The 24,454-nt window shown below is 36.5% G+C and overlaps 1 long non-coding RNA gene across 1 annotated transcript, besides 1 other annotated feature; it reads right to left on the bottom strand.

Annotated features, from left to right (window-relative positions):
* Positions 1-3,640: 3,640 nt before the first annotated feature.
* LOC124904598 (uncharacterized) lies at positions 3,641-15,514 on the bottom strand. The gene is made up of 3 exons (XR_007067047.1): positions 15,403-15,514; positions 15,123-15,218; positions 3,641-3,778 (listed from the first exon to the last, which is right to left on the bottom strand). It is a non-coding gene; the product is annotated as an uncharacterized LOC124904598 (long non-coding RNA).
* Positions 23,307-23,970: an enhancer, noted in NCBI's record as "OCT4-NANOG hESC enhancer chr1:215588487-215589150 (GRCh37/hg19 assembly coordinates)". NCBI's record gives its function as "activates a minimal SCP1, AML or CMV promoter by ChIP-STARR-seq in primed H9 embryonic stem cells {active_cell/tissue: H9 hESC(primed)}" and the evidence as "EXISTENCE:reporter gene assay evidence [ECO:0000049][PMID:30033119]".

The following is a 24,454-nucleotide window of genomic DNA, read 5'->3' as shown; positions in this document are numbered from 1 at the left end:
TCATTAAGAGAATATAGCAATTGTAAATATGTATGCACCCAACACCAGAGCATCCACATTTACAAAACAAATATCATTAGAGGTGAAGAGAGAGACAAAATACAATTATAATTGGGGACTTTAACACTCCACTTTCTGCAGTGGGCAGATCATTTAGACAGAAAATCAACAAATGAACATCAGATTTAATCTGCACAATAGACCAAATAATCCAAACAGATATTTACAGACATTTAATCCAACAGTTATAGAACACACACTTTTCCCATCAGCACATGGAAAATTCCCAGAATAGACCACATGTTATGCAACAAACCAAGTCTCAAAAAATTAAAAACAATCAACATCCTATCAAGTACCTTCTCAGATCACAATGTAATAAACTAGAAACTAGTAACAAGAAAAACTTGAGAAAATACAAATACATGGAAATTAAACAACCATTGGTTCAATAAAGAAATTAAGAAGGAAATTAAAAAATTTTTTGGAACCAGATGGAAACACAACATACCAAACCTATGGGATACAGAAAAATCAGTGCTCAGAAGGACATCTATAGCAATAAATACCTACTTCAAACAAATAGAAAGATTTGATATAAACAACTTAATGATACATCTCAAGGAACTAAAAAAGCAAGAATAAGCCCAACTCAAAATTAATAGAAGGAAACAAATGATAAAGATCAGAGTAAAATTGAATGAAATAAAGACAAACATAATACAAAAAAATCAATGAAACAAAAGTAAATTCCTCAAAAAGATAAACAAAGTGATAAACTCCTAAGTAGACTTACCAATAAAAGAGAAGACTCAAATAAATAAAATCAGAAATGAAAAAGAAGACATTACAACTGATAACACAGAACTACAAAGGATTATTAGAGACTATTATGAACAACAAAATGTTAATAAATTGGAAAACCTAGAGGAAATGGATACATTCCTGGACACATACAACCTACCAAGATTAAATCATAAAGAAATCGAAAACCTGAGTAGAACAATAATGGGTGATGAGATTGAATCAGTAATAAAAATGTCTCTTAATGAAGAAAAGCCCAGGACCAGAGGACTTTACTGCTGAATTTTATAAAGAATTCTCAAATTACTCCAAAAAATTGAAGATAAGTAAATTTTTTCTAACACATTCTACAAGGACAGCATTGCCCTGATATAAAAACCAGACAGACATAAAAAAAGAAAACTACCTTTTTGGGAGATAGAGGCAGGCAGATCACCTGAGGTCAGGAGTTCAAGACCAGCCTGGCCAATGTGGTGCAACCCCATCTCTACTAAAAAAAAAAAAAAAAAAAAAAAAAATCCAGGTGTGGTGGCAGGTGCCTGTATCCCAGCTACTTGAGAGGCTGATGGGGAGGTGGAAGATTGAAGTGAGCTGAGCTCATGCTGCTGCTCTCCAGCCTGGGTGACAAAGTGACTCCATCTCAAAAAATCCCCCCAAAAAACTGCAGGCTAGTATCCCTGATGAATATAGATGCAACAATCCTCAACAAAGCACTAGCAAGCCAAATTGAACAATTCATCAAAAAGATGATATACCATGATTAAGCTGGATTCTTCTTAGAGATGGAAAGATGATTCAACACACACAAAATAATATATGTGATACATCACTTTAAGAGACTGAAGGACAAAAACAATATAATCATCTCAATAGACATAGAAATTCCACATTTCTTCATGATAAAAACTCTCAATAAATTAGGAATTGAAGGAATATGTCTCAACATAATAAAGGCTATATATGACAAACCTGCAACTAACATCATACTGACTAGTGAACAGCTGCAAGCTTTTCCTATAAGAACTGGAACAAGAAAGGTATAATGCCCACTTTAATCACTCTTATTCAACATAGTACTGGAAGTCCTATCCAGAACAATCAGGCAAGATAAAGAAATAAAGAAATCCAAACTGGAAAAAAGAAAGTCCCTCTTTGCACACAACACAATCTTATATATAGAAAAACCTAAAGACTCCACCAAAAATCTCCTAGAATAGATAAATGAATTCAGTAAGTGCACGATATAAAATTAGAATACTAAATCTGTAGTACTTCCATAAAACAATAACAAACTAGGTTAAAAAAGAAATCAAGAATTCAATTCCATTAATAATAACTATAAAAAATAAAATACCTAGGAATGCATTTAACCAAGGAGGTGAAGACTTCTATAATGAAAAACTACAAAACAGTGAGAAAAGAAATTGAAGAAGACACAAACAAATGCAAAGACACTATTTGCTCACGGATCAGAATAATTAATATTGTTAAAATGACCATATCACTCAAGGCAATCTGCAGATTCAGTGCAATCCCTATCAAAATACCAAGAACACTTTTCATAGAAATAAAAATATCCCCAAATTTGTATGGAACCAAATAGAGCCAGAATAGCCAAAGCAGTCCTGAGCAAAACATAAACAAACAAAAACCCAAAATTTAAGGCATTACACTACTTGACTTTAATCTAATACAAATATATAGTACCAAGAACAGCATCATACTGTCATAAAAATAGACACATACACCAACGGAAAAGAATAAAGAACCCAGAAATAAATCCATATACTTACAACCAACCATTTTTGACAAAGACGTGAAGAAAATACATTGAGGAAATATCCACATGCAGAAGAAGGAAACTCTACCCCTAACTCTTACCATATAAAAAAATTCAAAATGGACCAAAGACTTAAATATAAGATCCAAAACTATAAAACTACTAGAAGAAAATATAGGGAAATGCTTAAGGACATTGGTCTAGGCAAAGGTTTTTATAGCTAAAATTTTGAAGACACAGGCAATAATAAAAAATAGACAAACATGACTACATTAAACTGAAAAGCTTCTGTACAGTCAAGTAAACAATAGAGTGTAGGAACAACTTGCAGAATGGGAGAAAATATTTGCAAGCTATTCATCTGTATTTAGAATAGACAAGGAATTCAAACAAGTCAACAACAAAATAAATAAATCCATTAAAAAGTGAGTAAAGGATATGAATAGCCATTTCTTAGAAGAAGACGTACAAATGGCCAACGGGTATATGAAAAAATGCTCAACATCACTCATCATCAGGAAAATGCAAACCAAAACCACAATGAGGTATCATATCACTCCAGTCAGAATGGCTATTATCACAGAGACAAAATGTAACAAACGCTGGCAAGGATGATGTGAAAAGGGAACTCATACGATGTGGATGGGAATTTAAATTAGTATAGCCATTATGGAAAATAGTATGGAGGTTTCTCAAAAAACTAGAAATAGAACTATACAATCCAGCAACTCACTAGTGGGTATCTATCAAAAAAATGAAATAAGTATATAAAACGAATACCTGCACCTTCATATTTATTGATACACTATTCACAAGAACAAGGATATGAAATCAACCAGTCTATCAATGGATGAATGGATAAAAAAGGTATAAATACACAATGGAATACTATTCAGCCCTAAAAAAACATGAAATCTTAGACTGTGTGCAGTGGCTCATATCTATAATCCCAACACTTTGGGAAGCTGAGGTGGTGGATCACTTGAGCTCAGAAATTCGAGACCAGCCTGGGCAACATAACAAAACCCCATCTCTACAGAAAAATACCAAAATTACCTGGGAGTGGTGGTGTGCACCTGTAGTCCCAGCTACTTGAGAGACCGAGGCAGGAGGATTGCTTGAGCTCAGGATGTCAAGGCTACAGTGAGCCATGATTGCACCACTGTATTCCAGCCTGGAGGACAGAGCAAGACTCTGTCTCAGAAAAAAAAAAAAGAAAGAAAAGAATGTCATTTACTGGGACATGGGTGAAACTGCTGGTAATTATGTTAAGTGAAATAAGCCAGGTAGAGAGAAACAAATATTGCAAGTTCTCACTCATATGTGGAAGCTAAAACTCTTGACCTCATGGAGGTAGAGCATAGAATGATAGTTACCAGAGGTTTGAGTAGTTGTGGGGAGAGAGGCGATGAAGAGAGAGGTTCGTCAGTGGTCACAAAGATACAGTTGTATAGAAGGAATAAGTTCTATTGTTTGATAGTACAATCAGGTGAGTATAGTTAACAATAACTTATTGTATGTTTCAAAACAGAACAGAAAATTTGAAATTTTTCCATCACAAATAATAAATTTTTGAGGTAATGGAGATGCTAAATACTCTGAATTGGTCACTACACATTGTATGCATGTATCAAAATATCATATGTACTCTATAAATAGGTACAAGTATTATGTATCAATAAATAAGGAAAGAAGAGAAAAAATATTCTAATACAGATGATTGAAAGGGAAAATGATAATATCTACAATGTACTAGAAAGATAATACATCCTTGTCCAGGTGGTTTATTCTGCAAATGAAGGTTAGTTTAATATGTGAAAATCAATCAATGCTATTAACAACATTAAGAGAATAAATAAGATAGATAATATGGTCATCTCAATATATATATTAAAATATTTGATCACGTTTGTACTTATTCATTGTAAATAAAAATCTCACAAAATTAAGAACAGAAAATATTCTCCTTAATCTTATAAAGGGCATCTACAAAACATCTACATTAACTTTATATTTAATAGTAAAATATTGGAAGATTTTCAGGTGAAATCACAGACTGAACACAACTTCTATTCAACGCTGTAATACAAGTCCCAGCCACTTGAGAGAAATAAGAAAGAAAATCAGGTAAAGTCAAAGAGAAATGAAGATGTCATTTTCAATTGTAATGATTATTTATGTAGACAACCCCAAGGAATCTATAGATAAACTGTTAGACTTAATTAATGGATTTAGAAACATTTGTGATATAAAGTCAATGTCCAAAAATCAGAGGTATTTCTATATATTGGTAAACAATTCTTTAAGACAAAGCTTATATTTTTTATTATAAAAATTAGTTTTTAATATGAAAATTATAATTACCAAAGACATAAAAGTAATTTAATGAAAGATCTACAAGAACACAGAAGACCTGAAAACATTACTGAAAGAAACTAAAGAAGTCCTAAATACATGAAATAATATATTGCATTCATGAATAAAGTTGTTAAATATTACAATATATAATTTGTTGCTATATTTATCTATAGATACAATGCAATCCCAGTGAAAATTACAGTCGTTGTTTTAGAGGAAATATAAAGCTGATTAAAATTTATATCAAAAGGCAAATAATTGAGAATAGGCAAAGTAACTTTGAAGAACAAAGTTAGAAGACTTAAATTACTAGATTTCTGGTCTCATTTAAATATATAATTATCAAGTGTATAGTACTGGCATAAGGATAGACAAATAAGTCAATGGAACAGAATGTGTAATTCAGCAACAGATCCACACATATTTGGTCACCTAATTATAATCCAAATATTACCACAACAGATGGCCTTGTCTATAATAGTGCTAGAACAACAGGCTATTCCTATTGTGAAATGAAGAACATTGATCTTTACTTCATATCAGCCATAAAAATGAAATTCAGGGAAGATGGCCGAATAGGAACAGCTCTGGTCTGCAGCTCCCACTAAGATTGACGCAGAAGGCAGGTGATTTATGCATTTCCAATGGAGGTACCTGGTTCATCACACTCGGACTGGTTGGACAGTGGGTGCAGTCCGCGGAGGGCAAGCTGAAGCAGGATGGGGTGTCATATCACCCGGGAAGTGCAAGGGGTCGAGGAATTTACTCCCCTACCCAAGGGAAGCTGTGAGGGACTGAGCCTGAGGAATCGTGCACTCCAGCCCAGATACTGTGCTTTTCCCATGGTCTTCACAACCCACAGACCAGGAGACTTCCTCTGGTGCCTACCCCACCAGGGCCCTGGGTTTCAAGCACAAAACTGGGTGACTGTTTGGGCAGACACTGAACTAGCTGCAGGAGTTTTTTGTTTTGTTTTGTTTTGTTTCCATACCGCAGTGGCACCTGGAACACCAGTGAGACAGAACCAGTCACTCCCCTGGAAAGGGGTACCTAAGCCAGAGAGCCATGTGGTTTGGCTCAGCAGGTCTCACCCTCACAGAGCCTGGCAAACTAAGATCCACTGGCTTGAAATTCTTGCTGCCAGCACAGCAGGAGTCTGAGATTGACCTGAGATGCTGGAGCTTGGTTGTGGGAGGGGCTTCTGCCATTGCTGAGGCTTGAGTAGGTGGTTTTACCCTCACAGTGTAAACAAAGCCACCAGGAAGTTCGAAATGGATGGAGCCCACTACAGCTCAGCAAGGCCACTGTGGCCAGACTGCCAGATTTCTCCTCTCTGGGCAGGGCATCTCTGAAAAAAAGGCAGCAGCCCCAGTCAGGGACTTATAGATAAAACCCCCATCTCCCTGGGACAGAGCTCCCAGGGGACGGTGCGGCTGTGGGCGCTGCTTCAGCAGACTTAAAAGTCCCTGCCTAACAGCTCTGAAGAGAGCAGCGGGCCTCCCAGCACAGCATTTGAGCTCTGCTAAGGGTCAGACTGCCTCCTCAAGTGGGTCCCTGACCCTTGTGTATCCTGACTAGGAGACACCTCCCATTAGGGGCCAACAGACATCTCATACAGGAGAGCTCTGGCTGGCATCTGGCAGGTACCCCTCTGGGACAAAGCTTCCAGAGAAAAGAACAGGCAGCAATCTTTGCTGTTCTGCAACCTCCGCTGGTGATACCCAGGCAAACAGGGTCTGGAGTGGACCTACAGCAATCTCCAGCAGACCTGCAGTAGAGGGGCCTGACCGTTAGAAGAAAAACTAACAAACAGAAAGGAATAGCATGTCCACTCAAAGACCCCATCCGAATGTCACCAACATCAAAGACCAAAGGTAGATAAATCCACAAAGATGGGGAGAAACCAGTGCGAAAAGGCTGAAAATTCCAAAAACCAGAATGCCTCTTCTCCTCCAAAGGATCACAACTCTTCACCAGGAAGGGAAGAAAATTGGATGGAGAATGAGTTTGATGAATTGACAGAAGTAGGCTTCAGAAGGTGGGTAATAACAAATTCATCCGAGTGAAAGCAGCATGTTCTAACCCAATGCAAGGAAACTAAGAACCTTGAAAAAAGGTTAGAGGAATTGCTAATTAGAATAACCACTTTAGAGAAGAAAATAAACGACCTGATGGAGCTGAAAACCACAGCACAAGAACTTTGTGAAGCATACACAAGTTTCAATAGCTGAATTGATCAAGTGGAAGAAAGGATATCAGAGATTGAAGAACAACTTAATTAAATAAAGTAAGAAGACAAGATTAGAGAAAAAAGAATGAAAAGGAATGAATAAAGCCTCAAGAAATATGGGACTACGTGAAAAGACCAAATCTATGTTTGATTGGTATACCTGAAAGTGATGGGGAGAATGAAACCAAGTTGGAAAACACTCTTCAGTATATTATGCAGGAGAACTTCCCCAACCTAGCAAGACAGGCCAACATTCAAATTCAGGAAATACAGAGAACACCACAAAAATACTCCGTGAGAAGAGCAACCCCAAGAAACATAATTGTCAAAATCACCAAGGTTGAAATGTAGGAAAAAATGTTAAGGGCAGCCAGAGAGAAACCTTGCGTTACCCACAAAGGGAAGCTCATCAGACTAACAGCAGATCTCTCTGCAGAAACCCTATAAGCCAGAAAAGAGTGGGAGTCAATATTCAACGTTCTTAAAGAAAAGAATTTTTAACACAGAATTTCATATCCAGGCAAACTAAACTTCATAAGCAAAGGAGAAATAAAATCCTTTACAGAGAAGCAAATGCTGAGAGATTTCATCACCTCCAGGCCTGCCTTACAAGAGCTCCTGAAGGAAGCATTAAACATGGAAAGGAACAACTGGTACCAGCCACAGCAAAAACATACCAAATTGTAAAGACCATTGACACTATGAAGAAACTGCATCAACTAACAGGCAAAATAACCAGCTAACATCATAATGATAGAATCAAATTCACACATAACAATATTAACCTTAAATATAATGGAGTAAATGCCTCAATTAAAAGACACAGACTGGCAAATTGGATAAAGAGTCAAGACCCATCAGTGTGCTGTATTCAGGAGACCCATCTCACATGCAAAGACACACACAGGCTAAAATAAAGGGATGGAGGAATATTTACCAAGCAAATGGAAAGCAAAAAAGAGCAGGAGTTGTAATCCTAATATCTGATAAAACAGACTTTAAACCAACAAAGATCAAAAGAGACAAAGAAGGGCATTACATAATGGTAAAGTGATCAATTCAACAAGAAGAGCTAACTATCCTAAATATATATGCACCCAATACAGGAGCACCCAGATTCATAAAGTAAGTTCATAGAGACCTACAAAGAGACTTAGACTCCCACACAATAATAATGGGAGACTTTAACACCCCACTATCAATATTAGACAGATCAACAAGACAGAAAATTAACAAGGATATTCAAGACTTGAACTCAGCTCTGGAACAAGCAGACCTAATAGACATCTACAGAACTCTCCACCCCAAATCAACAGAATGTACATTCTTCTCAGCACGACATCGCACTTATTCTAAAATTGACCACATAATTGGAACTAAAACACTCCTCAGCAAATACAAAATAACAGAAATCATAACAAACAGTCTCTCAGACCACAGTGCAATCAAATAAGAACTCAGGATTAAGAAACTCACTCAAAACTGCACAACTACATGGAAACTGAACACCCTGCTCCTGAATGACTACTGAGTAAATAACGAAATGAAGGCAGAAATAAAGATGTTCTTTGAAACCAATAAGAACAAAAACACAATGTACCAGAATCTCTGGAACACATTTAAAGCAGTGTGTAGAGGGAAATTTGTAGCACTAAATTCCCACAAGAGAAAGCAGGAAAGATCTAAATTGACACCCTAAAACCAAAATTAAAAGAACTAGAGAAGCAACAGCAAACAAATTCAAAAGCTAGCAGGAGACAAGAAGTAACTAAGATCAGAGCAGAACTGAAGGAGATAGAGACACGAAAAACTCTTCAAATAATTAATGATTCCAGGGGCTGGTTTTTTGAAAAGATCAACAAAATAGATAGATGGCTAGCCAGACTAATACAGAAGAAAAGAGAGAAGAATCAAATAGAAGCAATAAAAATGATATAAGGAATATCACCACTTATTCCACAGAAATACAAACTACCATCAGATAATACTATAAACACCTCTATGCAAATAAACTAGAAAATCTAGAAGAAATGGATAAATTCCTGGACATATACACCCTCCCAAGTCTAAACCAGGAAGAAGTCGAATCCCTGAATAGAACAATAACAAGTTCTGAAATTCAGGCAGTAATTAATAGCCTACCAACCAAAAAAAGTTCAGGGCCAGACAGATTCACAGCTAAATTCTACCAGAGGTATAAAGAGGAGCAGGTACCATACCTTCTGAAACTATTTAAAACAATAGAAAAAGAGGGAATCCTCCCTAACTCATTTTATGAGGCCAGCATCATCCTGATACCAAAACCTGGCAGAGACACAACAAAAAAAGAAAATTTCACGCCAATATCCATGAAGAACAGCGATGCAAAAATTCACACTAAAATACTGGCAAACTGAATCCAGCAGCACATCAAAAACTTATGTACCACGACCATGTCGGCTTCATACCTGGGCTGCAAGGCTGTTTCAACATACATAAATCAATAAACGTAATCCATAACATAAAGAGAACCAATGACAAAAACCACATGATTATCTCAATAGATGCAGAAAAGGCTTTTGACAAAAGTCAACATCCCTTCATGCTAAAAATTCTCAATAAACTAGGTATTGATGGAATGTATCTCAAAATAATAAGAGCTATTTATGACAAACCCACAGCCAATATCATACTGAATGGGCAAAAACTGGAAGCATTCCCTTTGAAAACCAGCACAAGACAAGGATGCCCCTCTCACCACTCCTATTCAACATTGTATTGAAAGCCTGGCCAAGACAATCAGTCAAGAGAAAGAAATAAAAGGTATTCAAATAAGAAGAGAGGAAGTCCGAGTGTCCCTGTTTGCAGATGACATGATTATATATCTAGAAAACCCCATCATCTCAGCTCAAAATCTCCTTAAGCTGATAAGCAACTTCAACAAAGTCTCAGGATACAAAATCAATGTGCAAAAATCACAAGTATTCTTATACACCAACAACAGACAAATAGAGGGCCAAATCATGAGTGAACTTCCATTCACAATTGCTACAAAGAGAATAAAATACCTAGGAATACAACTTACAAGGGATGTGAAGGACCTCTTCAAGGAGAACAACAAACCACTGCTCGAGGACATAAGAGAGGACACAAACAAATGGAAGAACATTCATTCCATGCTCATGGATAGGAAGAATCAATGTTGTGAAAATGGCCATAATACCCAATGTAATTTATAGATTCAATGCTATTCCCATCAAGCTACCACTGAATTTCTTCACAGAATTAGAAAAAACGACTTTAAATTTCATATGGAACCAAAAAAATAGCCTGCATAGCCAAGACAATCCTAATCGAAAAGGACAAAGCTGGAAGCATCACACTACCTGACTTCAAACTACGCTACAAGGCTACAGTAGCCAAAACAGCATGGTACTGGTACCAAAACAGATATATAGACCAATGCAACAGAACCGAGGCCTTGGAAATAACACCACACATCTACAACAATCTGATCTTTGACAAACCTGACATAAATGAGCAATCGGAAATGTTCCCTATTTAATAAATGTTGTTGGGAAAACTGGCTAGCCATATGCAGAAAACTGAAACTGGACCCCTTCCTTACACCTAATACAAAAATTAACTCAAGGTGGATTAAAGACTTAAATGTAATACCTAAAACCATAAATATCCTAGAAGAAAACCTAGGCAATACCATTCAGGTTATAGGCATGGGCAAAGACTTCATGTCTAAAACACCAAAAGGAATGGCAACAAAAGCCAAAATAGACAAATGGGATCTAATGAAACTAAAGAGGTTCTGCACAGCAAAAGAAACTATCATCAGGGTGAACAGGCAACCTACAGAATGGGAGAAAAGTTTTGCAATCTATCTATCTGACAAAGGGCTAACATCCAGAATCTACAAAGAACTTAAACCAATTTACAGGAAAAAAGCAAACAACCCCATCAAAAAGTGGGCAAAGGATATGAACAGACACTTCTCAAAAGATGACATTTAAGGAGCCAACAAACATATGAGAAAATGCTCATCATCACTGGTCATTAGACAAATGCAAATCAAAACCACAGTGAGATACCATCTCATGCCAGTTAGAATGGTGATCATTAAAAAAGTCAGGAAACAACAGATGCTGGAGAGGATGTGGAGAAATAGGAACGCTTTTACACTGTTGGTGGGCGTGTAAATTAGTTCAACCATCGTGGAAGACAGTGTGGCAATTCCTCAAGGATCTAGAACTAGAAATACCATTTGACCGAGCAATCCCATTAATGGGTATACACCCAAAGGATTATAAATTATTCTACTATAAACACACATGAACATGTATGTTTATTCCGGCACTATTCACAATAACAAAGACTTGGAACCAACCCAAATGTCCATCAATGATAGACTGGATAAAGAAAATGTGACACATATACATCATGGAATACTATGCAGCCATAAAAAAGGATGAGTTCATGTTATTTGCAGGGACATAGATGATGCTGGAAACCATCATTCTCAGCAAACTATCAGAAGAACAGAACACCAAACATCACATGTTCTCACTCATAAATGGCAGTTGAACAATGAGAACACATGGACACAGGGAGGGGAATATCACACACTGGGGCCTGTCAAGGGATGAGGGGCTAGGGGAGGGAGAGCATTAGGAGAAATACCTAACGTAGGTGATGGGTTGATGGGTGCAGCAAACCACCATGGCATGTGTATACCTATGTAACAAAACTGCACGTTCTGCACATGTACCCCAGAACTTAAAGTATATATATATAAAAGACTGAAAGAAGGGAAAGAAGAGGTCAAACTGGAGCCATTCTAGTTATGTGACGTTACCCTATATACAAGGAACTTGGATGCATGGATAGTAGATAAGTCAAGCTATAATCCCCTGAAAGGAAAGTATGTATGTTTATATGATAAATATGTCAAGTATCTAAATAAGACAAATGTAAAGACATGAAAGTTTACAATTAAAAAAAATAAAATTCAGATAGAATTGAAGAAAATAAAAACAATAAAACTTCTAGAAGATAATATGGGACAGGGAATATCTTTATGGCCAATACACAGGCAAAGATTTGTTAAACAAAGATTTAGTAAACAGAAAACAAACAGCTATAACCATAAAAGAAAAGCTTAATGAATGAATTTGATTATATTAAAATTAGAAATTCTTTTTTATTAAAAGTTACTATTAAGAGAATGAAAGTCAAAACATGGGAAGAATACATTTATAACATATATCTAATACAGGATTGTACAGATGAATGAAGTCCCACAAATTAATTTTTAAAAAGTAGGATAATCTAATTAATACATAGCAAAATATTTGGACCAGAACTTCCCAAAGGAATTTATCCAAATGGCCTATAAATATTCAAAATAATAGATACTCAACTTTTAAATCAACAGGAAAACGTAAGTTAAAACATGAAAGGATACTATACATCTCCCAGAATGGCTAACACTAAAAATCTGACAATGCCAAGAGTTGATGAGAATGTAGAACAACCAAAACTTTTATATACTGCTGGTAGGAAATCAGATTTGCAAAATCATTTTGGAAAAGTGTTTGACAGCACACATAATCTTCAACTCAGCAAATCCACTCCTGGGCTTATTCCCAAGATAATGTTTACACAGTATATGATCACCAGAAGACATGTATTGGAATGCTTACAGTGGTGCTATTTGTAACAGCAGCAAGCAATTGAAATGCACATCAATGGAATACATTAGTAAGTTTTGATACATTTTGCAGGGGAGCTAAGCAATGGGGGAAATTGCTGTGGTACCATGGGTAAATCTCACAAAGATACCTATTGAGTGAAAAAAGCAGACACCTAAGTGCCCATGCAAATGCAGTTTGAATGATTCCATTAGTTTAAAGTTCAGAAACAGTCAAAATTAATTTTTGGTGACAGAAGTTGAAGCAGTTACCTTTGAGGTGGTAATTACTAGGATGCGGCACAGAAAAGATTCCCAGGATGCTGGTAATACTTCATACCTTGATCTGTGTGGCAGTGGGATAAGGATGTTTTCTTCTAAAAATTCTTTGAGCTACATAATTAAAATTTACATACTATCGTGTATGTCTGTTATACTTAAAGCAAAACTTAGAAAAATAAACAACGCTAAATTTCTGATATTTTGTGTTAGCCATACTTGAAGGGATAGTCTTGAACTCTTCTTATTTGTAATGAAAATATTTTAGCATTTCTATAGATAAACAAATGGGCTTGGCTAATGTATAGTTCTAGAATTTGTGTCACATATTAAGATACTGCTAAACCTATTTCATCAGACTATCCGAAAAATAAGCGTATTTAGTGCAATGCACATATTTTTCCCCAATAATAAAGGGAGCAATTTGTTTTTTCGGTACATGAATTGTTCATTTATTTCCTGTGCTTCTTTCCTGAGTTGACTACTTCAAATTCATTTATTTTTAAATGCCTACAAGGAAAATGCAATAATCACAACTCAATTCTACAATAATTTTTTTTGTCGGCTGCAGTTTAGTGTCTGACCATCAATTTACCTTGGTGTCATGATGTGCACCCGTCCCTGCACCTGAGCCCTATGTCACCGTGACCCAGAGGACCAGATGTCTTCACTCTTGCATAAACTGCGCTCACTAGCTAAGCACCTGCTACTGTTAAGTTGGCTATCCAAATAATTAATTATGTAATTGTCATTTGTGAATACTGTTTTCTAAAGAAAGTAACAGGAAGAAGTAAAATGGGAGGGAAACTGAGTTTTGGTTGACTTTAAGAGGGAAGAAACTCCCAAAGCACATTTTCTTCTTGGAGCAGAAATAAATAATCTTTCATCCACAGTCTGCCTAATTATCCCTCACAGCTCTTCATCATAGAACCCCAATCTCATTTAGACTTGATTGATTTTGTTAGAAGTCTCATCTAATCAGGATACCCTTCTTGATTTAACCTGACTTCACCCTGAAATTGTGCTCCAATATAGCGAGAGAGACAAGACGATGCGTAAAGAAAAGCAGGGTCAGGGGAATGTGAGTTTTGTTCCTTTCACACTCCATTGTAAGAAAAGTGTATGTAGTCAGGAATAAAATCTCCAAAACCGTTTTGCTGCTGTTTTGGTGTGGATCAATTTAGCAGCTACTGCGGATAATGCATTTGATACTCAAACTTCCTTACATTAGTGTGCCCTAAGGACATTTTTTAAAAAAAAATTCTAAGCTTTTTGTTTTAGTAAATATATATGCATTTTCTTAGATGTTTATTGAAATAACATGTAATGAAAAATATTATAGAGTAGTCATCCGACTAAAAAAATTGAGAATAAATGGAATACTATTCATAGTACTTTTTCTGTTTTCATCCAGCCTTCAGAAAGATACATACTGCAGTTGCACAGGAAAATTACTTTCTTAGCTATAATGCTATGGTCAAATAACTCCCCTCACAAGCTACATCTCACTGCCTTCTTTTGTCAATGAAATTGAATTGAACTGTAGGATAAAGATTTGTCTCTCTGATTCTAAGGCTAAACCTGCTATGCACTCTTTTTCACCAGAAGGCTGTCAATAGGGTGTTGGCTGACTTGAGCTTCCTTCTGTTCTATTAAATGTAATGAAACACATAAAATGGAGGAAGTTTAAACAGAGTTTTAATGCACCAGAGGCAACCATCAAAATCAACCCCTCCTCTTTTTCCTCTGAGGGCTAATTTCAGCATTATCAATTATGGAGTAAAAATGGGGTTCATGAGTACATTACAATCATATAGAGAAATGAAGTTGCATTTCTACATTATCTGTGACATGACTTTAAATTTAAACCTATGCTTGGCCAAGAAAAGAAGTTTTAGAAGAAAAAAGAGAAAATATGGTCAATTTTTAAAATAAAAGATGGCAAGCTAATAATAGCAATATCACTTTACATCTAGGGATAAGTAACTTACTGGAGGTCACGTAGCTCACAGATGGTGGAGCTGGGCTGCAAATCCAGGAAAATGGTCACCGTGGTGCCTACTCAGGAACTCCACATCTCACTGCTTCTGTAAGAGTGAAAGATGATAGATAAGAAATAATAGGGTCAAGGGTAATTTTTAAAATATGAAGAGAACTGACATTTGGAAATAAAGTTAGATATGATTGAAATTTGGGGAGGGGTTGGGGAATTAATGGAATGAGGTTTCTAGGAGACAGGAGGGGAAAGCATTAGAAGTGAGAAGTATCAACCTAAATAACAAACAGAGAGGCTCTCTAAAGAAAATGATATTTTTGGGGGGGAATAGGGCACTGCAATGGTAATATTCGTGCCATAGTGACCTATGTGCACTAGTTTTAGGGAGGTAAGGGAAGACAAAAGTTTTGAAAGGAAAAATGACATAATTGTTTTGAGATAATTATCCTTGGCCTCAAAGATCAATAACAAGGGTGGCACCAGTTCAAGGTTGGACAGGCAGTTGCTGGGCAGATGTCCCTGCAGAAGTATTTTTTTGTGTGTAAAATTGTGATGGCCTTTGTGCAAGTTCACAGTTTTTAGTCTTTTGTGATAGTTTCTGTTATGGGGCATTTATTTGTGAGAATCCTTCTCTCCACGGCCTTCCCTGTTTCTATCTGCCAGGGTGTTTTTTGTTCTATGTGTGAGTGTGTGTGCATTTTTACACAAGTGACTCTATTTTGATCTTGACAAATTTCACAAAGCAAGGGAACCTCTTCCCTTGGGATAGGAAATAAAAAAGAAAGAAAAGACAAAAGGGCTTGGACTGATGAGAAATGATGATGAAAGGGCTTTTCTTAGGAGGCTTCTCATTTTACAATAAGGAAAGAGAGTGCAATCCTTTGAGAGTCAGGAAGGGTAAAATGTGGGTTGGAGGGAGAGTGAGATGTAGAACAGAAAAATGTATGTGGCGAAGGAGAGGTCTGTGTCTGAGGTATTTGGAGAACCCCTTGTTTGTGCCTATGAACTGTTCTTCTGGTAATTTAAAAAAATCCTGAAATCCAAGTGATTTTTATCTTGAGATTAAGTTAGATGGCTGAAATACAAAAATGATATCCCAGTCCACATCCTTGTCTGTATGACTTTCATAAGCAGCCATTATTAGAGTCCTGCAAAGCTTCTACTGAAAGAACAGATTTTATTGTAGTTAGATGACTTTTCAAAGTATCAAGGAAATATGAAATCAAAATAGATATAAGTAATTCTAAATCAGACTCCCCATCTATACACAATGAAACCAAAGAAGAGGAAGACAGACTGGAAATGCTTTCTTAAAACAAGAACATTTCACTCTCAGTATAAAGATTTTAGTGTCTGACCCTGCCCCTAAACAAAAGTCTCTAAAAATATTTATTTGAAATTATAAGACAAGAGATAAGATTATTTGAAGATGAAAGAGCTAGAGGATAATGTTTGGATTGTCATGACAGTATTTTCTAGACATTCTATTTATAAGTAAAAAAAATCAGAATTTGTAGCTGAAGCTTAAAATATGTTGTTCAAAATATCTTAATGCACACTTGCTGCTGCATTTGTCTTTTAAAGTTGCATATTTAAAAATAGGCAAAATAATGTTTCATCTTAAAATGCTTAACTTTTACATTATTTTTATATGTTTAGGTTGTATTTTTCAATGATACTTTATTCCATTTTTATCACCTAATGGTTATATCAGAATTAGAAAATGTGTTTAAGATTTATATCTACATTAATTTACATTTTTATTTAAGTTTTTTTCTGTTTAAAATCTATTATATTTTTAATTTCATTGGTTTTTAAAAATATGAATCCTGAGTACTTTTAAAAATGAAATATTGGCATTAGTGTGGTATTTCAAAATTATAGTGAATAAATACCAAAATGCTAGTTTGTTATTTTTGCGGCAGTAATCCAATCTGAGCAATTGAAGAGACTAGCATTAAAATGACTGATCATGAGTCATTTTTGACATTAATTAAAGCCAAAGGCATCTAATAAACTGAGGGCAGAGGGAGGGGCATTGAAGCTGGAATCTAGTTAAAACAGGCTATAATTCTCTCAGCTGCTATATCAGCCAAGGGCCAGTTGGAGGAATAAGAATCACTTTGGCAATTTTAAGTGAAAAGTGGCTTACTACAGAGAATTAGATGCTTAAATAAATCACTGCAAAGGTTGAAAGGAATGGGCACTAGGTTATGTCCCTAGGGAAGACTTGTAGAATGAAATGGCTAAGCTGACCTGCCAACAAAGCAGCCACCCTCTATTACAGTTAGAAAGTTGGGGGATCATCATCCCTGGTGCCTGTAATTCCAGCTACTCGGGAGGCTGAAGCGGGAGAATTGCCTGAACCCAGGAGGTGGAGGTTGCAGTGAACTGAGATGGCACCATTGTACTCCAGCCTGGGTGACAGAGCAAGACTCCATCTAAAACAAACAAACAAAACCCAAGAAAAGAAAAGAGGATCAGGAGGGCTGCTAGAATTGATGAGTTCAAGAGCAATCTGCTGTAGTTGAATCCAGGATCAGGAGGCTCCCACTTTTACTGCTCCAGCTGCCTCTTGACACCAACAAAGTTGGCACCGGGATGCCAGAAAACTGATTTGATTCCAGTTGCCACCAACACTACTGCAACTGCTTTTCAGTACCCACAAAGCTAGTGACTGAACATTGATACGCCACTGCAGAAGAACCTATGTCTCCATATTTTTGTGTGCCAGAAGCAACTTCCAAAAGCACAAGGATTTCAACCTCTGTCTTACTTCTGCTTCCAAATCTTACATGAATGGATCTAACTGGCAAAACCAAAATCACATCCAGAACTCAGTTGTGAGTGTGGGAGATACTGATTCTGGTTTTCAGTGTCCACAGTTCAGGAAGCTACAACTAGAAAGAAGGTACAACTAGAAAGAAATATAGTTGAGCAAATCAGTCCACCATATCCACCACAGCTGGGATGATAAAACTATAGCATAAGGAGCACATATTAATATTTACTGTTATGACATAATGGAAAATTACCCAAAGGAGACCGATGTCTACTTATATAAAGTATCTAAAGTAATCAAACTCATTGAAACAGAAAGTAGGTGATTGTCAGGGGCTGCAGGGAGGGGGAAATGGAGAGTTGTTCACTGAATATAGAATGTCAGCCATGGCATATGAAAGTACTAGAGAGATGTTATATGACAAAACGCATATAGTTAATAATACTATAATGTACACTTAAAGCTGTTAAGAGGGCACATTTATGCTATGTTTTCTTTTTTATTACAAAAAATAATAAAAGAAAAAAAGAAAAGAGAGGCCTATGTAGTTCAGAGACTTGGCAGTAGCCTGAAAATTCTGGTTATAATAATCATTATTTATGATGATTTATACTTGAAATGATGCATGTCAGCTATTCTCACTGTAGATTCAAATGTCAAGTGTTTGGACTTAGTTTGCAGTCTTTTTTTTTTTTTTTGTAATGTTAGGGATAAAAAATCACATCAAAGCAAAATCTTCCTACAAATGCAATTTTTGATTATTTCATAATTTTAAAAAATAATTAACTGGCCCTCAAGTTAAAATAGAACATCTTCCCAAGAATCTCTGGAAACTAATTCAGAGTACTGGTATCATATTTTACTTAAGCAGTTCTGTTTATATGGAATTTAAAAGGTATGAGATGGTATTTCCAAATTAATCAGCAAAATAGAACAGATATAACACAGAATGTTTTAATTACTTATTTACAAAAACATTAATTGTGAAGTTTTCACTATTGTGAAACTTGTCATTTTTTTTTTTGTATCTAAAGCACGTCTGAAAATTTAAATTACATAGATACAGCAGGAGGACCAGATTTATCTTTGCACCTAGATACTTATTTTATGTGTAAAAGGGCCAAGCGCCTAAGGCAGAAAATTAAATCCCTTCTGGAGATTTTTAATGGCTATAATCTTGTAATCCCAGACAGCCAAATCCTTATAAACTTCATTTTAAGAATTGTTTTAGTATTTCATGGATTTTGTTTTGTTTGTAGACTTGTAGGTTAATTGATTTTTGGAGGGAAAATAAGGATATAAATTTTTAGTTATTTTATCATTATGAAGTTCAAAGAAGTGAATTAACCCAATGATCAAGAGTTCTATATCATAAAGCCTACATAAATTTATTAGGAGTATTTATTTTTAATTTGTGAATTATATTTTATTTGTAATTTCTAGATTTGATTTTTCTAAATATTATTTTCAATTTTCAAATATGGTGGCAATATCTTTGGGAAAGTCAAAAATGGAAATTACATGGTCCATTGCATATATTGAGAAGTAATACTTTCCTTAATCAAAGAATATGAAATTCTATTGCATTGTTTTATTCAGTCTAAGCTTCTGCTTTTTCCAGGGATATGGTTAATAGCTTTTAAAGAGGAAGTTTATCCTCCTACCCCTCTCTGGGATGGAAGTTCTTAGCATATTACAAAAAAGAAACAATTTCCTAACTGTTCTCTGACCTCACCCCCTCAAAGGTTCAGTTTCTAAACAAAAGGCATTTTAGTACGCAGATATAGATTTTGCAGATGTTTCTTATCTCAGTAAAACTGACAGCAAAGGTCAAGTTTAGGATGATCTCTTTAAACTCACTGGATTCCCTCATCCTTAGGTCTGTTTTATTCTTCTTTACAGATAATTTGACAATTCCCAGAGCTGAACCAGACAATACAAAGACTCTGTCTAAATCACAGGCAAACTCTTGGAAGGAAAATTAAAATTTCAGTCCATTATATGATATCCAGATATCTGGATGTTTGATATGGGGCAGACAACACATCTGAATGTTGCTGTCTGTGCCAAGACCGTGGGTGGCAGCAGAGGTAGAGAGAAAGAAGAACCAGGACTACAAGAATGGAGAGGAAACCAGGAAAGGAGGAATGGGGAGAGGGAACAGGCCAGACCACACACAGGAAGTTCCTGGAATACTGAGGTTGAGGAAGAGAGGTGAAGCTTGCAAAGGGGCTGAAGGTCAAAGCAAAGCCAGATTATTTAGGCAAATGTTAGGTTTTGGCTTTGTTGAAATGAACAATAGATTCTTCTAATGTTATCAATAATGCAGCACCAAGGATTTTCAAACCTTTTTTAACAAATGAAAAGTCAAGAAACTAATTGCATCAGTTTTTTTCTAGATCACTTAAGATTTTTCATATTTTCCTGACTGTAGGATCAACGATCAGCCTTTTGTTCAATCACCTCTGTCACAGGACTAAGTGGTTCAAAGGCATCCAGGTTCCACAGAAAGTGACAGTCACACTAGTAGATATCAAATCTTTGTTTTCAAATTAAAAGTCTCTTCAGAGGAGTGGCAAATTAAGTCAATAACGATATAGGTTGTTATTAAGATAATGCTAACCTCATGGAATGAGGAAATCTCTTTGCTTCTATTTTTTGGAAGACTGCCTTCCAAAGAGATTGTAGGAAGTTAGCATCATTTCTTTCTTAAATGTTTGGTAGAATTTATCTGTGACAACATCTAGGCCTGATGCTCTTTTTTTTTTGGAAGGATAGTAATTGATTCAATTTCTGTAACAAATATAGGCAGATTAAGATGACCTAGTCTTCCTTGTTTGAGTTTTGGTAGTTTGTATCTTTGAAGGAATTAGTCCATTTCATCTAAGTTATTAAATATTCTTTTACTTTTAAGTGTCCATAGAATCAGTAGTAATGAATCTTCTTTAATTTCTGACATTGGTAATTTGTGTCTTCTCTCTTTTTCTCTTGGTTAGTTTGCTGAGAGATTTATCATTTTTATTGATTTTCTTCTTCAATGAACCGGCTTTTGGTTTTATTGATTTTTCTCTGTTGTTTTCCTGTTTTTAATCTTATAGATTTCTACTTTAATTTTTCTTCTACTGCTTTAAGATTAAATTATTCTTCTTTTTCTAGTTTCCTAAGGTGGAAACTTAGATGACTGATTTTTAGATATTTTCTTCTAATGTATATATCCAATGTTATCAAGTTCCCTCTAAGCACTGCTTTTACTATATGCCCCAAATTTTGGTAAATTGTAATTTCATTTTTATTTGGTTGAAGTCCTTCTAAATTTCTCTAGACTTTTTCTTTGACCCTCTCTAGTTAAAATCATAACTTTGACATTTGATACTCCTAATTTCTTTGTAACCTTCAAATATACAATAAAATTTCCTTATTATGCATTACTTGTTTCTCTCTTTCTGTTAATATAGAAATTCTACAAGGACAAAGTCAGGAAGCATCTTTAGCTTTGCTTAATGAGGTAGTACAAATACTTAAAACTGTGCCAGATATATAGTAGGCACTTAAATATTTGTGTTGAAATAATAGAAATGTTATAAAAAGCTTGACACAGAATAGGAGAGGGGAAGAAATAGTCTTTGAATCAGGCTCTTAAAACTTTGGATATCGGATTTTTATTTTAAAAAATTGCTTTTCAAATTCTGTGTAGATTTTCGATAAATTTAACTCCATCGATGTCTGAGTAAAGATCTTTTGCCCATTTGATCTCATCTAATCAGAACAGGAGATGTTTTTAATATAGTACACTAGACATATTTTTACATCTCTAGAGTCTGATTATAAATTCTGGCAACCCTGAATCAGTCACCAACGACTTCCAGTCAATTACAAAATTATTGACTCTGTGAATCACAGCACATGCATCACATTTTTTATATCTATAAAGAAAGGAAAATGTACGTAATGTGATTGCTCAAGTTAGTATTCATCTTTGGGTGCACAAAAGTGATATGAATTTTCTTAGATGTTGTGGGTGGCCAACAAATTAGGATATCGGAAGACTGACATTTAATGGCCAGAATTTGAAGCAGAGGTGTATGCTTTATAGAAGCTAATCTGTAGCACTTATTTTGCTTCTTTTCCCTTTGACAAAACAGCATGTTAGAGGATACCCCAAAAATATTCATTAACGAAGATGCCTGTCTAAGGCATTGCACTGATGCTATTTGATAGAGTATGCTAGCTATATGTAGACACACATATAAGTTGAAATTTCATTACTTGAAATATAACAGAAAATCTTACACTTTCATACAACTTGGTAAACTCTGCTCTTCTTGTAACTTCTATCCTGCCTTGCTCTAGGCCAACAGGACTGCCAGAAAGTTGAAGATAGTCACCTACATAGCATGGCCATCATGGATGTGGTGAGGTGGAAATAAGTGAGCTGACATATGTTAATAGCATTCTTGTTTCAGCTGTCGTTTCTCTGTTTGAGCAGCTCAATTTTCAACTGCATTCCCTGCAAGTAGGTGTGGGGGATGATGTGGAAGCTGCAAACTGCATAATCGCATTCCCAAGACTGCTTTGTAAGCTGGCTTCTAGTTGGGTCCTGCAATGGGAGGCATTCATGGAAAAATGGAAGATAGGAAGAAGGGAAAATGCCTCAGTTGTTTTTTTCTGCTTGTGCTGATGCTAAGGCACCAGCTGTGTAGCCCTGGGAGTGTGGCTTCTCAGCCGTAGTATAGGCTCCTGGATTCCTATTCAGAAGAGGTTGTGCAGTTTTAACTGCAGCAGCAGAACATCAGTACCGTTGACATTCATGCCAGATTCGGGTTCAGAAGCAATAGTAATATCCTCATTTTAAAGTAACCTCTTTTTCCTTTCGCTCTTTCATCCCCTTAAGCACGTTTATAAGCAATACCCTTCACTCAATCTCTTTTATTCAGAAATCTAAAGTGAGTTCTATTTTCCTCACTAGTCTAGATAAAAACACGTGGTACCTACCAACAGTGATCCTAGGAAACAAAACCTCAAAGTTAGAAATCTGGGATTTGTTATTAACCAGATTGTGCTTGAACATGAAACAACTTCCATGATGAAACAAAATGAGATACTCAGAATCTGTGGCTTGTAGTGGCCTGGGGTAAATGGTCTCTTTAAAACAAGACTTCAGGAGAATAGTTATCAGCTGTGACTAGTTGAAGAGTGAGGCTTGCAAAGATTGTGAGGTTTGTTGACTGCTTCTCCTTTATACTGTAATATAGCAACTTTAAGGAACTTGCCCAAATGTATGTGTGGAACCTAGTGAGGGACTCCATGAGGAAACACCAGGCTGAAGTTGGCTCTCTTAGAGTCTTATACAGAGTTTGAAGCCACAGTGTAGCATAGTCTTTGTGGCCAGTAATATGTGGAGAGTAGGAAGGGAGCTGCTGGTGGTATTGTAGCAGTTTTCTGTCAAAACGTGCTGGTTACAGGGTGCCCTTCAAGTCTTTGTTACTAGCCCTTTTAAAAACACCTTTTAAAAAGTAGCCTTTGTCAGGCCTCTGAGCCCAAGCCAAGCCATCGCATCCCCTGTGACCTGCACGTATACGCCCAGATGACCTGAAGTAACTGAAGAATCACAAAAGAAGTGAATAGGCCCTGCCCCACCTTAACTGATGACATTCCACCACAAAAGGAGTGTAAATGGCCGGTCCTTGCCTTAACTGATGACATTACCTTGTGAAAGTCCTTTTCCTGGCTCATCCTGGCTCAAAAAGCACCCCCACTGAGCACCTTGCAACCCCCACTCCTGCCCGCCAGAGAACAAACCCCCTTTGACTGTAATTTTCCTTTACCTACCCCAATCGTATAAAACAGCCCCATCCTTATCCCCCTTCGCTGACTCTTTTCGGACTCAGCCCACCTGCACCCAGGTGAAATAAACAGCCATGTTGCTCACACAAAGCCTGTTTGGTGGTCTCTTCACACGGACGCGCATAAAATTTGGTGCCGTGACTCAGATCAGGGGACCTCTCTTGGGAGATCAATCCCCTGTCCTCCTGTTCTTTGCTCCGTGAGAAAGATCCACCTATGACCTCAGGTCCTCAGACCGACCAGCCCAAGAAACTTCTCACCAATTTCAAATCCGGTAAGCGGCCTCTTTTTACCCTCTTCTCCAACCTCCCTCACTATCCCTCAACCTGTTTCTCCTTTCAATCTTGGCGCCACACTTCAATCTCTCCCTTAATTTCAATTCCTTTCATTTTCTGGTAGAGACAGAGGAGACACGTTTTATCCGTGGACCCAAAACTCCGGCGCCGGTCACGGACAGGGAAGGCAGCCTTCCTTTGGTGTTTAATCATTGCAGGGACACCTCTCTGATTATACACCCACGTTTCAAGGGTGTCCGACCACCCAGGGATGCCTGCCTTGGTCCTTCACCCTTAGCAGCAAGTCCCGCTTTTCTAGGAGAGGGGCAACTACCCCTCAACCCCTTCTCCTTCACCCTTAGCGGCGAGTCCCACTTTTCTACGGGGCAAAAACCCCCAATCCCTTATTTCCACGCCCCAACCTCT

Source organism: Homo sapiens, chromosome 1 (assembly GCF_000001405.40).
Source record: "Homo sapiens chromosome 1, GRCh38.p14 Primary Assembly".
Taxonomy (NCBI): domain Eukaryota; kingdom Metazoa; phylum Chordata; class Mammalia; order Primates; family Hominidae; genus Homo; species Homo sapiens.
The sequence above is the reverse complement of the archived record's forward strand: the minus strand, read 5'-3'. Positions and strand labels throughout refer to the sequence as shown.